Raw genomic sequence first — 14,821 nt, forward strand, 5'->3', positions numbered from 1 at the left:
GGCTTTTCTTCACTGCAGAGATGCCAGGAAGGAACTACATTTCCCAGAAACCCTTTCCCCTAGGATTTGCTAATGAAAGACACTCACAGGAGATTTTTTCCCCCCTAATGCCAAACTGATTAAATTTGGCATTAGGAAAAAGAGAAGCCATTTTTCTTTGGAGACACTGCAGCCCTGTCGTGGGAAAATAGATTTCATAGCAGCCTCCTGGCTAGAATTGCACTAGCTTCCAGGCAAGCTCTTGAGAACTCCTCTGGAACTTGTAGCTGAGATTTGCGTTGGCTTTCTTGACCTGTGGGAATATCTCTGACCTTTGTTAGATCCTAATTTCTGTATTAAGTCCATCTCACCTGGAATACAAAGTGGCCTCTGTTCTCCTAACCTGGTACAGCTCTCAGCATGTCTTACAGACAAGAATACAAACTCCTGTTTGTAAACCACCTAGGATGATGGCAGCCATTATTCAACTTCTTGTTGTAGATTGGCTCTACAGAAATTCTGATGAGTAATGGCTTTTCCATTGCATTTAGGGTCCTTATTAGGAGGGTAGATAATTTGAAAGCTTTTTTTTTTCCCCCTCAATGCCAGAAATATCTTTGGCTATGAAGCACCACAGAGGTAGTCCCTGTGGGACTATCTGGGCCTTTCTTTTCAAATAAAGCTAGTTTTTAGATTCACGAGACACTCCTCTACCCACAAGGGGATATTTCAAGGTAGGAAGGGCAGGGAAAGACTCAAAGATGCCAAGAAGCGCAACCTCATAGTCAAACCCAGGTATCATGGATGACTAGTCTCTATCTGGTGGACATCACTGGTGTTCCCCACTAGAATGCAGGCTCCACAGGGCAGAGATCTTTGTTTTGTTCACTAATGTACCCTAAGCACCTAGGACAATGCCTGTGGGCACTACCTGGAAGTGACACACTCCTTGACTGTGAGTCTGAGATACCTACAAGATTCAACAGTCAGATATTACATGTACTTTATCTACTTTCATGTTTATATCTCTGGCTCTAAGACACTGTACTGCCACCCATTCTAGGGGCAAAAGCAATTTAAAAAACAAACCAAACCAAAGCTGTGGTCACTTTATAACTTGCCTCTCCTTATATACCTTTCTGTTCTCAGGTCTTCATAATCACAATAGTTGTCTTCTCAGTAATCATCTCAGGGGCAAGTTTTAAGAATGTATTTCGGCTGGGTGTGGTGGCTCACACCTGCAATCCCAGCACTTTGGGAGGCCGAGGCAGGCAGATCACCTGAGGTCAGGAGTTTGAGACTAGCCTGGCCAACATGGTGAAACACCGTCTCTACTAAAAATACAAAAATTAGCCAGGCATGGTGGCAGGCACCTGTAGTCCCAGCTACTTGGGAGGCTGAGGCAGGAGAATCACTTGAACCTGGGAGGTGGGAGTTGCGGTGAGCCGAGATTGTGCCACTGCACTCCAGCCTGGGTGACAGAGTGAGACTCCATCTCAAAAAAATAAAAATAAATAAAAATGGTATTTCTAGGTTTTATTTGGGCAACTAAGGGAATTTTAAACAATTAACACTTCATATTTCAATGTAATATAAATTTAATGCAAAAATGAAAATGTAAATGTAACGTAAAAACAAGTGAGAAGGATGACCCCAGAATTTTAAAAATTGAATACATTTGGCATTAGGGACATGTTTTTTTCCCCATGTAACCTCAGACCTGATTTGGCATTTTGGAACCACTGATCCTAGTCAATCCTCTCATCCAATATCTGCCTAGCCAGCACCTTTTATTAGGTGCTGGGATCTAAGAGTCAGCAAGACAGGTAAGTGTTTGACGCTGTGAAAACTGAGAGCTGTTGAGAACACAGACCTCTAACCCAATTCACAGGGTCAGAGCAAACTTCCTAGGACAACTACCTTTTATACTAAAACCTGCGAGTCAGTAGGAGTTCTCCAAAGCTGGGAGTTTGGGAAACAGAACTGACTTCCAGATAAGAAAACTAACATTCAGAGAGAGCGAATGCCTTTCCCAGACATGCAGTAAAGTTGGTAGCAGAACAAAAATGACAAACTGAGTTAAAATTTCTGTTCCTATTGCAATGTGTTGCTTTGAATTTCAGTGAGAATCCTTGGGCCCTCTATTGGCAACCTCTATTAGCAACTTCTTCAAGTGGCCAATTTAGGGGAGGATCCTAAATGCAGATTTACTGCTTTTCCTCCCTTCTAGCCTTAAACCGATTAAATGAAGTCTTGACAGCCAGCAGCCTGCATCCACTACAGAAAAAACGACACCTTGAATCACACCTTCACTTGAATTCAGTTGAGTTCCAGTGACTACCACCTCTGTGCTTTGTCAACTTTGGGTTGAGTCCTTTCCTGAAAACACATCAGTGTAACTAAGAAGTCACTGCTGTTTCTTGGAGTTGGGTTGGAATAGTTGGAGTGGGAGCCAGGATGGTTGGAAAACAAACCACACATATTGCTGCTTCTGGAAGCTTTGTTCTTTAATGAGCCATGGGGTGATTTGTTCATCAAGCTGCTTTTGTGTAGCCATACAGTGCATATTTTGAGTGACACAAACTGCACTTTATACAGATGGTATCTTGTTACCCCTCAACCCCCCAGCAAAGAAAAAAAAACAAAAAGGAAATTACAAAGTGCCTATTGATTGCATCCGGAATGTAATCAGTTCCGTGGGTGAGATAAATCATTCTTCTTATAGAATTATTCTATTAAACAGTAAAATGTTATATTTCACAGGATATGTCCTTTTATAATACAGTTTTTAAAAAAAATTTACACTCAGCATACTTATAAATTACTTAAAATCCATTAAAATAATATAATACGAATCTGTAGTCCACACCTTTCCCATAGTAAATACAAATACTTGGTTCAAAAGGTGCAACTTTTATATGACCTCAGAGGGCTGATAAATAGGCATTAAGAATGGATGACTAGCAAGGTGACAGGCCCATTGTTGGGGCTTTTTTGAAAATAGTTTCAACCAGGGGACCAACATGAGACCTAATAGATCCATCTCCACAATCATCATTTTGCTGTTACCCTTTCAATACCCAATCAAATGTGGGAGTCATTCCAGAGAAAAGTGGTTAAAAGTAGTCTAGGGCATAGAAAAAGAGGACTCTCACAGATACCAAGGAGTTTTACTACCAAGGCCAGCATGGTATTGCAGGACAGTGCTGGGGAGTTGTCACAAGAGTATGGGTGGACATAACACATTTGTCCATACAGAATGATGCATGCCCCGCATCCAGCTTCCCACCAAGAAGAAAAAAGAGAGGAGGATGAGGAAAGCCATGGAGTGAGTATGTATGTTTCTTTTTAAAATGAAAACTCTCTTAGCTTTGAACACATCCTGAGAATCCTTTCTTCTTTCTAGTTTACCAAAGTGCTTGTTACAGTGAAAAACACAGCCCACAGGCACTGAGGTGGGACTACAGAACCTTGCTGGACCACATCTTTTCAGCACATTTCTGTGACCCTCTGTTTTTGATGGAGAAAACAACGCTACTGTTATGAAACACAGAATGGAGTCTTCATTAATCTTCCAGCAGGGTAAGTGCTCTGGCAGGTTTCCAAAGCATGAGAAGGTGGGGGCTCTAGTATTCCATCCCAGGACCTCTGGCCCTTTTGTCTCTCTCTGCAAGGCTCATAGTTGGAGGGCTGTATCTCCCTTTGTGTTTTCAGAAGCCCAGAGTGGCAAAATAATTTAAATGGCAGGAGGTACAAAGTACGTTGTAAACTAAGCCTCCCTGAATCCTGCTGTATTTGCTGTTGATTTGCTTCAATTTGTGATACAGAATGAAATCACACTTCTCTGCTTTTGTTACATTTTCCATAATAAGTACATACTAAATTACAGGGATACATTCACTTTAATGGGCAGAGTTGAAAATTCAGGTTTTGTTTGGGGCTGGGAATGTGTGCTGTGAGAAGAGTGCTCTGCATTTTGGAGTATGGGCTCCAAATGTGGAGCTGCCCCACTGCTGCCATGCAGAGATCAAACAAGCAAAGGAGAAGCACTATGGAACCACAAATGTGATGCATATTAAGGGCTAACAGTTTCATAAGTGATTGTAATGCGGCATCACTTTGTGGTGACATAACTTTACCATGCAGAGGGCCAGTGAGAACAGATGGATGCAGACACAGCGTTTGGTTCTGAAGGTTTTTAAGAGTTATGGCTTCATCTCTTGATCAGGCCAACAAGGCCTACTACCCTATGTAAACAACGGCTTTCCCTCAAAGGGAGGGCCCCACACTGCTCTCCACTCTTATCATTTTGTGGCTCTCTCCTCCTCACCCACCCACCCCAATCCTGGCAGATTAAATTACTAGAAATCCACAAATCTAGCAACTGAAAAAACAAGTTTTTTTAATTGAATTTTATCCAAACTGGAGTTTCAGGTCCCTGAGAAAAATTATAAAGTCTCTTAACATCCATCACCTAGTTCCTTTAAAGTGACCTACATCAGTCGTTTTTTAACTGCCAAAAAACTTATTTTGCCAAAAAAGCCCCACAAAGATTTAGAAGGAAGAACATGTGCCAACATATGTTCTTCTGGCCATTCCTCTGGGCCACAGGAAATTATTCCATAAGGGCAATCTCTTTTTTTCATACAGGATTTAACCAACATTCTGGAGCAAGTGCAGAGTAACAATTAATGCCCAGCAGTACACTACTCTCCCAAGAACACTGAAACACAGACTGTGCAACCTGGCACGGGGCTGAGGAACCAGCAATCCCACTCTAACACACCATGCTGAGGGGTTTTCCTCTATCCTCTAGGAGATTCTCTGAAATTCAGATTTTTAAAAGCTTAACATTATTTATTACTCCTCAGGACAAGATGAACAAGGTGGCAGATGTCTGTGGGATATAAAGCATAACATTTGCTCATTAACTATCATTATTCTGGAGATTTTAATGGCTTCCTTTCTCTGGCTCAATTCTGAACCCAAAGTAGGGAGAGGTAAGACTCCTGCTACCTTTAGCTGCCACTCAGAATTATGCTCCAAGTCTAACCTCTGGGGCTGGCCAATAACCACTGAGGCAGTGGCGTGAGGTTCAGTGTTGTGTAACAGGAGAGAGAGACTCTGCCTTAACAAAAGACTTAATATTTCCACAACTTCAAAGAAGTATGAAAAGGAAGAATACCCAAAATACAGGTTATAGATGGTAAAGGCTCTTTTTCAGAGCAGTGCATGTAGTAGCAAGACAAGATGCATTTAGTAACTTTAAAAATAAACATTTCACATACTTATCTCAAGAAAGGCTATCATGTTTCATTTTTTATATATTATAAATAGCAAAAACAGATTTCTAATCCCACAAATGCTAAGATACTTAAAATGCTATTATAACTCATGTGTATGAAGACCACCCAGTGGTGAAAATGATGTCTTACTAATTCCCTCAACCCAGGGACGAATGGCTCTCATCCCCCTGTCCAGTGGCCCCTCATCTGTGGGAAGAAATTCCATGGGAAGGAGGGAAGCACAAGGTTAAAAAGAAATATGCCTACTATACATACATATTTACAATAAACTTCAGTAACCAGAATATTAACAAAAATAGCTTCAAGTAGTCCTTGATTTTTTTCCATCTATTTAATACTGATAGTCTGAGAAAAGGAAGATAAAAGTTAGTTAGTTAGATAGGTCATATTAAAAACCTTTTTATTTTTTGGCAGCTTTCTGTAACACTTACTTACTTATTCATGCAATATTGTATGTGAATGTTTTTGGAAACTAACTAAACGGTCACATTATTTGTTTGTTTGTTTGAGTCTGAGTCTGTGGTGGGAATCCACCAGCAGATGAACAGGCTCATATGCGGTTTTCGGTTTAATCTATACAAAGAGAAAAGCCTGAATGGCTTAGGATGAAACCTTCATAAGTTTAGGGATCACCATGTCTCTGGGAAACTAAAAAATAATGTAGAAGAATCTGATCCTAGGACCAAGAAACATGAGAACAGTATGGCTACTGACACTTCAGCCCATGCAATGTATTTGGCAGGAACTAAACAGGAGTTAAACCAGCACTGATTACTATGACATCAAACATCATCAAAAAAAATAGGTATTCTCTTCTTCACTGTATAACAAGATATCTGAGACACGCTCTGATGGCTTAATGGAAACAATCACGGTTTTTTTTTGTTTTTTTTTTTTTGTTTTTTTTTTTTGTTTTTGCTTTCCCCAGAATATAACATGGAGTGTTTTTTCAGAAATCTTAAAATAGAGGGATTAGGCTTTTTGTTTGTAAGTAAGTTTTTGGAAAAAAATTATATTCTACCCTAGCTCCTAACTATCCCAAAATAAACCCAAAGGCTTTTGCTTTCACGGTTAAGAAAGATTTATACGTTTTCTTCAAATGTCAGAAATGAGAGGGTCCCTCAGGACAGCAATATCCCCCCTAGTTCAACACCCACCTTTGGGAAGGGAAAAGAGGGTGGGGGAGAGGCAACTACAACTGACCCAAATCCCCAGGCCCTAGGTGGCTTTGTATAGTAAAAATCTCAATTCAAATACAACAGCCAAGGCACAGCTGGCACCATCCCCAGCAGGCTTTCTGCTTCTGCAGGAGGCCCAGGAATTCAGCACATACAGTCTTAGCCATATGCTTAGAAAAGAGGCAGGACCACAATTAGGATTGACTATTGTGGACGAGGTGATGAAACGCAGCCCCAAAGGTGAGATTTGTTTACCACTCTGTAGCCACGGAGGGACACACATCTGCCGGTTCAGACCATAAATTCATTATTTCCAAAGAGTGCTAGCTGTTGGTTGGAGGTGCAGTCTGGGTCCACAGTTTTTCTGCGGCCAGACATGACTGTCCCCTCTGGGGTCTCTTTGGTTTTCTGAGGTGAGTTTTTCACATTCTTTAATTTTTGTTTGCCCTTTTCCGGGTTGAAGGTTCCTCTGCTGATGAACTGAGGCTTGTCTTCCAGGAATTTGGTCTGGCCCAATGGTCCTTCCATTCCCAGGGCCTCATTACCTGAGGCAGCTCGGTAGAATGGAGATTTGGAATAAATCTGAAATAGTTTTCTGGTCCCATGAGATGATGCCGTGTTAGACAGACATAAAGAGGAGACCGAAGAGTCCACGACATCTAAAGAGTCTTGCTGCTTTTTAAGTTGCTTTCGCAACTTGCTGGAAGGTTCAGACTTGCCAGCTGTCTTCAGGGAGCTAAGGGCTAAGCTTCTTTCTAATGCAAAAAAGAGACCAAAGATGTAAATGACAGTGCCCTCTAAAGCAAATCATCATATAATGAATAGATGCCACTGTTCACACATGAAATTGGGTGGGATAAGATTCAGAGGGTCCAGGATGACTTACTATGGGCACAGTCACAGTAAGAGCTCACCATCCATTTCTCTATGTAGCATTTCCGAATCATCTCCAAGGAAATCTGGTGTTTGACTATGCCATCAGCGGAGGCCTAGAACAGTCACTATCATTTCAAAAACTGCCAGGATATGCAGGTAAGTCCTACATCTCCCTGAGACATGCCACCCAGTTAAACACCTCCTTTGTATATGTATATAGTCCCACCTCACAGTGGGGGCACAATGCCTGCCACCCTCAGAAAATGGGTTATGGGTCAGTAAGACAACATATATTGTGATTATTGGCTTTTCTCTGTGGTAAGTACAGGATAAAACATTAAATTACCAAAAAACAAAACAAAACAAAACAAAAAACAAAAAACTCAATCACGTTGAAGAGTTGGTTTGATAAACAATGTATATGGAAGCTTTACAAAGACAACAGGAAAAAAAAGACCTTCCGTGGAAGTCAGGAATCTAAGTAGCAAAGACAATTATATTTCTTATCCCCTTATATTTCTTATCCCCATCCAGGTCACTACCTGTATGCCAAACGATGAAGGCTAAAATTATATGGATAAAAGGACAAAATTCCTCAAGACTTTGTTATTGCTGATGTACAGTCAGTAAATTCTTAAAAGACTTTGTCTTAGTTTTGGAATCTTTATTCCTCCTTTGCAAAACAAATCTGGAGTCTTTGGTCTACCATGTTCACTTACCTGATTTCTCAGAGATAGCATATTCAGACTCCATATTCAAATTCTCTGAGCTATCAGCAGTCCCAATGGAGGCCTCAGACTCAAGGGTTTCATCATCAGAGGCACGGGGTTCCAGTACAAGCATCTCAAATGTTAGCTCCTCCCTGTAAGACACAATCAAGAAACCATTAGCATTTGATAGGAAGTGGAAGGAAGATAACAGAAAAAAAGATCCTCCATGGAAGTCAGGAATCTAAGAAGCAAAGAGAGTCCATTTTTACTGTCCCCATCCAGGTGGTGATGAGGACCTGTATGCCAAATATGGTGAAGGCTAAAACTATATGGACTAAAGGACAAAATGACAGATAGCCAATCTAGGACCAATAATAGGGGTAAGGGTAGGGTGAAGAAAGATGTAGTGGTGAGATCTTTCAGTAAAATGAACTCTGGACTGATAAGCAGGAGATCAGGGCTCTAACCTTGTTCATAATATCCATAATGCATCAGGAAAGTACCTTTCTCTTCTGGACCTCAGCTTCCTACCACAAAACAAAGAGATTAAACTAGATAACCTCTAAGATTCCTTCCAGCTCTTAAACTATTTTCCATGAAGCTTACTAACTGGCTATAGACGATACCCTCTATCTTCACCACAGAGACCTCTAGACGAAGAAAAACACTGATTGATCTTTTCTGTCCTTTGAAGCTTATGCCATCTTCAGTTGTCGTATTCTCTAGTCTCCCTTCTTCATCACGGTCACCCAGCTACCTCTCAGTAATGCCCCACATTCTGTGAGGTCTTTGGTACTCAGATCCTAATCTTGCTTTTTCACTAATGCCTGACATCACCTGATCTATTCAATTAATATCTTTGTAAAAACTCATCTGAATATTCTAACACTGAAGTTCCTTTATGTCTGCAACTTCTAACAATATTCTCCTCTACTTTATCTAAGCTACTTTCTCCAATGCACAGATCCTGGAGCTTGTCATTACTCTGAATCCAACACTCCACCCTGTTCACAACCTCCTTATCCTTCCAATTCTTACTCACCTTCTAATCAAGTCTCTTCCCTAACAGAGCCCCTTACCTTTACTTCCCCTTTACCTGGCTTGAGATCCATGAACAATCATTTCAAGAACAGTATCACCAGCATTACAATTGTCTGAGGCCATGTGCATTCTGAGACTCTGCTCGTTCTTCTTTCTTTTTCTAGAGACTCTCCCCTTCCTTGAAAATTCCTATTAATCCTTCAAGACTGCCAATATCATCTGCATCAAAGCCAAACTGGGTCTTCTTTTCAGATCACTCTTCTAGCAAATAGCCCCTGGTCAATGTACATCATCTTTGCCTTATCATGTTTTTTACAGCTGAGCCCCAGCTGCTTTTTTAGCTGGCCTATATTCCAGAATCAATCATGAGAGACCAAGAAAGTATTTTAACAGTCTTATATCCCCTTATAAACCAAACTCAAGACCTGGGATCCTGGAACTCAGGAATAAAGATCCCATTAAGACTTCCTAAGAGTCATCAATGTCGACCAGAACTATTACACAGCACCTGTAGGGAGAACCATGGCACGTTCATATTATCCCCAAGGCATACTGTCACCCAATCCCTGCAACAGTGATGAATGGAGGTAAAAGAGCTTCTCATTTGTCTCTCTCCTAAATTGCAACCAATTTCCCTATCTAGTATCCTAGCACCCTCTAGGGCTATAGCCTTACTATGACCATCTAGTTGCTGTTCCCATGGTCATATGGATCTTTGGCTAATAACCTTCCTTCATGGATTTGTGAATAATGCCCATTCTTGAAAGGGACTTTGGCTTAGCCTAAGAATTCCTTCTCTTCTTTGCAAAATAAATCTGTTCATGGAGGCTGGTCTCCGACCTGTTAGGACTCCAGTACCTCATCTTGGCTCCCCACTGTTACTGCTAGATGAATCGTGACTAAGACTGACATGCCCTGTGGATACTGTGTCCTCCTCCCAGTCAGCCTCTACAGACCATCACTGTAGCAGCCTCAGGTTTCCCAGCTCATGGAACTGGCTTCCCAGAGGGAACAACTCTCACACTGTTACCTGAGTATAGACAACACGTCTTTGTCATCTCAACATCTCCTGTATCATCTGACACAGTGTTTAACACACAGGAGATAATAAATAAGAAAAAATAAAGAAACGATAGAAGGAAGGAAACAAAAACAGACTATAACTGTCTCTCCCCTTCCTCCTGGATACTCACTTCTCCTTCTGTAGGTTCTCAATCTGCTCAGTCAGTACTCTCTCCTCCTGCTGCATAGCTGCTTGCTGCTGTTCTGTGATGTCAGTCTCCATGGCTGCCTCACTAGTCAAGGTCTCCTCTGAGACATCAGACACAGAAGGCAACCGAACTACAACAGGAGACGATGGACCTGGATAGTTTCCTCGACGAATACGCCCCTTTCCCTGCAGAGAAAAATTCATGTTAGAAAGTAAATTGAGTGACTGCATCAGTTTTACATTGCTCTTTTAGGATAACAAGTGTATTTCCATCACACCAGGTGAATGATAAGAATAAATGGAAACACTCTGCGAGGCCTAGGATATTTAGTGAGACATATTCATACAACACATTTAAGTTAAAATATTTCTTGCAGGAGTACTGGAAAACGGATACTTTGGTAGGTGGGAGTGTAAGAACCCATTGTGTACTGAGATGAGTTTCTTCTTTTAATATAAGCTGCATCCATTCCAAACAAAATAGCCACATCTGGGTATTTATTTTTAAATTAATTAAAATTGAACTAACATTTCAGTTCTGCAGTCACACTAGCCACATTTCAAGTGCTCAATAGCCACAAGTAGCTTGTGACCCCCACACTGACTGGTACAGATCTACATTTCCTACCATCATAGTAAGTTCTGATGGATAACAGTGCTCTATAACTGTAGCCTTGGAATGCATAATCTCTCTAGGAAGACCATAGAAGTATGTTCTAAAACTCAGTTTTGAAAAACAAAAACAAAATGTAGTCATTTATAGAACACAGGGTGCTAGTGAGATATATTTTCTTAGGAAACTTCTATCCTTGAGATCAGAGTGTGAAAATCTCATTGCTGCTTCTTCCTTTTTTTTTTTTTTTTTTTTTTTTTAAACATTGGTTACTTTATATATGACTTTCTTCTGGTAGTGGCAAACTAAACTTTTTAGGTTAATCTCCTGCTAAGAAACATAAAAACTCAACATATGCTAGAAGGCACTGAAGAGCTAACAAGATAGATTAAGGAGACACTAGTCCAGCATTTAGTGCTGATCTAAATGTCAGAAGTGGCTGTGACTCTAAACAGAGCTTTTGACATGCTACAGCAGAGGACGGCAAACTATAGCCCGTGTGGCAAATCTAGCCTTGCACATATTTTGTAAATACAGGTTCACTGGAATACATTTATCTCATTAATTTATTGTTTATTGCTGCTTTTGCAGAACAATGGCAGAGTTGATTGTTGAGACAGAGATTGGCCTACAAAGACTAAAATATTTATTCTCTAGTCCTTTACAGAAAAAGTCTGCCATCACCTTGGGATAGAGAATAAAAGTTGGAGCCAGACCCACTCAATGGTGTGGGTTGCTGCCTGGCAAAACCTCCGTGCCTGACACTGGGATCCCCAAGGTTTGTTTCTTAGACATAAGAGTAAACTGAAATTATAAAAGTCCTTGCAGATACTGTAGTCTAGCTTCAAGTCATCTGAATGGTCCAGAAAATTCTAATCCCTAAAAATGAATTAATCTCAGATTGCTAATACTTTAGGACCAGGCAGAAAAAAATGAAAACATTCTTGGAAGAAAGTAACATTATCTAGGCCTCAAAATATTTTAAAAATAGTTTTTCAAATACTCTGACAAATAATCAAAGGTAACAGGCACAAAAGGAGACAGGACAATGTAAATGAAAACTAGTAAAAATGACAGAAAACAGAAACCCTAAAAGACTCCAGATATTGTGGCTATCAGATTTAAAATAACCATGCTGAAGGAGACAGGAAGACATAGCTGAAGTAGTGGACTGGAAATTAGGTCAAAAGAAAAATCCTGAACCAAGCAGGAAGAAACAAAAGAATGGAAAAATTCACAAAAGAAAGTAAAAGAATGGCTGGGCACCGTGGCTCATGCCTGTAATCCCAGCACTTCGGGAGGCTGAGGCAGGCAGATCACCTGAGGTCAGGAGTTCAAGACCAGCCTGGCCAATATGAAGAAACCCCATTTCCACTGAAAATACAAAAATTAGCTCGGTGTGGTGGCATGCGCCTGTAGTCCCAGTACTCAGGATGCTGAGGTAAGAGCATTGCTTGAACTCGAGAGGCAGAGGTTGCAGTGAGCCAAGATTACGCCACTGCACTCCAGCCTGGGCAAATATCAGGACAAGAGAGAGATCCTATAGAATAAATATTGAAGAGATCATGGCAGAGAATTTTTTAAAAGCAGTTAAAGATATTAACCTAGGAATTTAAGAAAGCCTACAACCCCTAAGAAAGAAATAAAAAGAAGTCTATACCTAGACAAACTACTGTTAAAAACTAAAGGCCTAAGGCAAAAAAAAGACTTAAAAGCGTTACAAAAAGCAAATTCCTTGCAAAAAAGGAATAACTATTAGATTCAAAGTTTATTTCTCAACAGAAATAATGGAATGCAGAAAACAATGGAATATTTTCATGGTGATGAAAAAGTAACTGCCAAGCTTGATTGTTATATACAGAAAATAATTTTCAGGAATGAAGGTGAAATAAAGACATTTCAGACAGACTAAGAGGAGAATCTCACACCAGCAGACCTGCACTAAAGGAAATATTGAAGGAAAGATTGAAAATGTCTCGAAGAAAAGTTAGAGGTGTGAGAAATAATGAAAGGCAATGAAACGTGAGTATGTTTAAATAGTGACTGCATAAAACATAATAGCGATGTGTTGAATTTAAAACATACAGATAATTAAGATACACAACAACAAGAGGAACAAAATCATATCACAGTAAGGCATATTAAAACACCTGTATTATCTGGGAAAAAGATAAAACTACTAGTTAGCAAATACTGATAGATCACAGATCTGTTTTCACCATTTGGTTAATGACTAAAATAATAGTAAAAGAGTAAAACTTCCAAACAAAAGAAAAAATGGAATAAAAAAGTAGTAAAAAAATGCAAGAAAGAGCAAAAAAGGCAAGGAAGAAAAGAAAAAGGAACATATATCAGGCAGGACAAATAAAAAGCACATAAAAAACAGTAGATTTTAAGCCCAAATATATTGGTGAGTATATTAAATATAAATAGATGAAATGCTCCTATTAAAATTTGAAGATTGTTGGGCCATATAAAAAAAAAGAAAACCTATCTATATGATGTTTATAAGAGACATGTGAATTCAGAAAGGCTGAGAGTAAAGAAATGGGAAAAAAAAGACATACCATGCAAATACCAAAATAAAGCTAGTACAGCTATATTAACTGTAAACAAAGTAAACTTTAAGAAGTATTACCTGTGATAAAGAGGGATACCTCACAATGACAAAGGTTCATATTATGAAGAATAACATTTCCAAATATGTATGTACCTAAGAAATTGCTTCAAAAAATTTAAAGTAAAATATTGACAAAACTATTTTTAAAAAATAGACTATAATCAGTACTGAGAGAACAAGTATGCACACGCAATCAGAAATGATGTAAAACTGAACTTGATATAAGCAATCTAACAGACATATACAGACTTCAGTATCTAACTAGAGAATACTCATTTTAAAGCGCACACAGCAAGACAACAAAATTCCAAGGGTTGAAATAATTTATCTGACCGTTAAAGTAATTTAAAACAAGTTTTCTAATAATGTAGTTACAAAGAGAAAATTAAAAATTCTTGTATACTCAGAAATTAAGAAATAGACTTTAAAACAAACCATGGTCAAAGAGGAAATCACAATGGAAATTAGAAAATATTTTGAATGAAACAATATAAAAACCCATGTAAGCTCTGTCTACTTTAAAGTTACAGCCTTAAATACATACATTAGAAAAGAATTAATTAATTAAAGAATTAATTAATTAAGGATGTAAGACTCTATTTCAGGAAACTAAAGAACAACATAATAAATTCCCCCTGCAACAAAAGCAATAAAGAAAAGAGCAAACAAACATTAGAATAAAGACAATCAAAGCCAAATGTAGCTCTTTGAAGAGGCTAATAAAATTTTTAAAACCCTAGCAAGACTAAAAGAAGTCACAAATAACCAAAGGTTGTAATGAAAAAGGGGATATCACTACAAATCCTGTAGACCCAAAGAGGATAAGAGACTACTAAAAACAACTTCATGTCAATAAATATAAAATTTTAGACAAAGTGGAGAAATTTCTATGAAAATCTAATTAATACCATCAATGAAGAAATTAGGAATGTGAATAATATTAAAGAAATTGAATCCAGAGTCAAAATCTTTCCAAAAACAAAACTCTAGGCCTAGATTTCAGTGGCAAAGAAGAAGAAATAACAAATTCTTCCACAGAATTAAAAAAGAAACTATTCCCTAACTTGTCTTTAGAGGCAGGCGTTAAGTTTGATAACAAAACACAACAAATACATTAAAAAGAAGGATTATTGCCAGGTGCAGTAGTGCATGCCCACAATCCCAGAACTTTGGGAGGCTGAGGCAGGTGGATCGCTTGAGCTCAGGAGTTTGAGACCAGCCTTGGCAACATGGCAAAACCCCTTCTCTAAAAAAAAAAAAATACAAAAATTAGCCAGGTGTGGTGGCA

General features: G+C 39.1%; 1 protein-coding gene across 50 annotated transcripts in view; it reads right to left on the reverse strand.

Annotated features, from left to right (window-relative positions):
• MYO9A (myosin IXA) overlaps positions 2,466-14,821 on the reverse strand; it is a 296,310-nt gene continuing 283,954 nt past the window's right edge. For all 50 annotated transcript variants that reach the window (XM_047432576.1, XM_047432553.1, XM_047432585.1 and 47 more), the window contains 3 exons: positions 10,284-10,486; positions 8,059-8,201; positions 2,466-7,218 (listed from right to left, as the gene is read on the reverse strand). In XM_047432576.1, coding sequence (XP_047288532.1) covers positions 6,755-7,218; positions 8,059-8,201; positions 10,284-10,486 — 810 coding nt within the window. In that variant the 3' untranslated portion in view covers positions 2,466-6,754. The remainder of the gene's footprint in view (positions 7,219-8,058; positions 8,202-10,283; positions 10,487-14,821) is intronic.

The sequence above is a fragment of the Homo sapiens genome, chromosome 15 (genome assembly GCF_000001405.40).
Source record: "Homo sapiens chromosome 15, GRCh38.p14 Primary Assembly".
Lineage (NCBI taxonomy): Eukaryota > Metazoa > Chordata > Mammalia > Primates > Hominidae > Homo > Homo sapiens.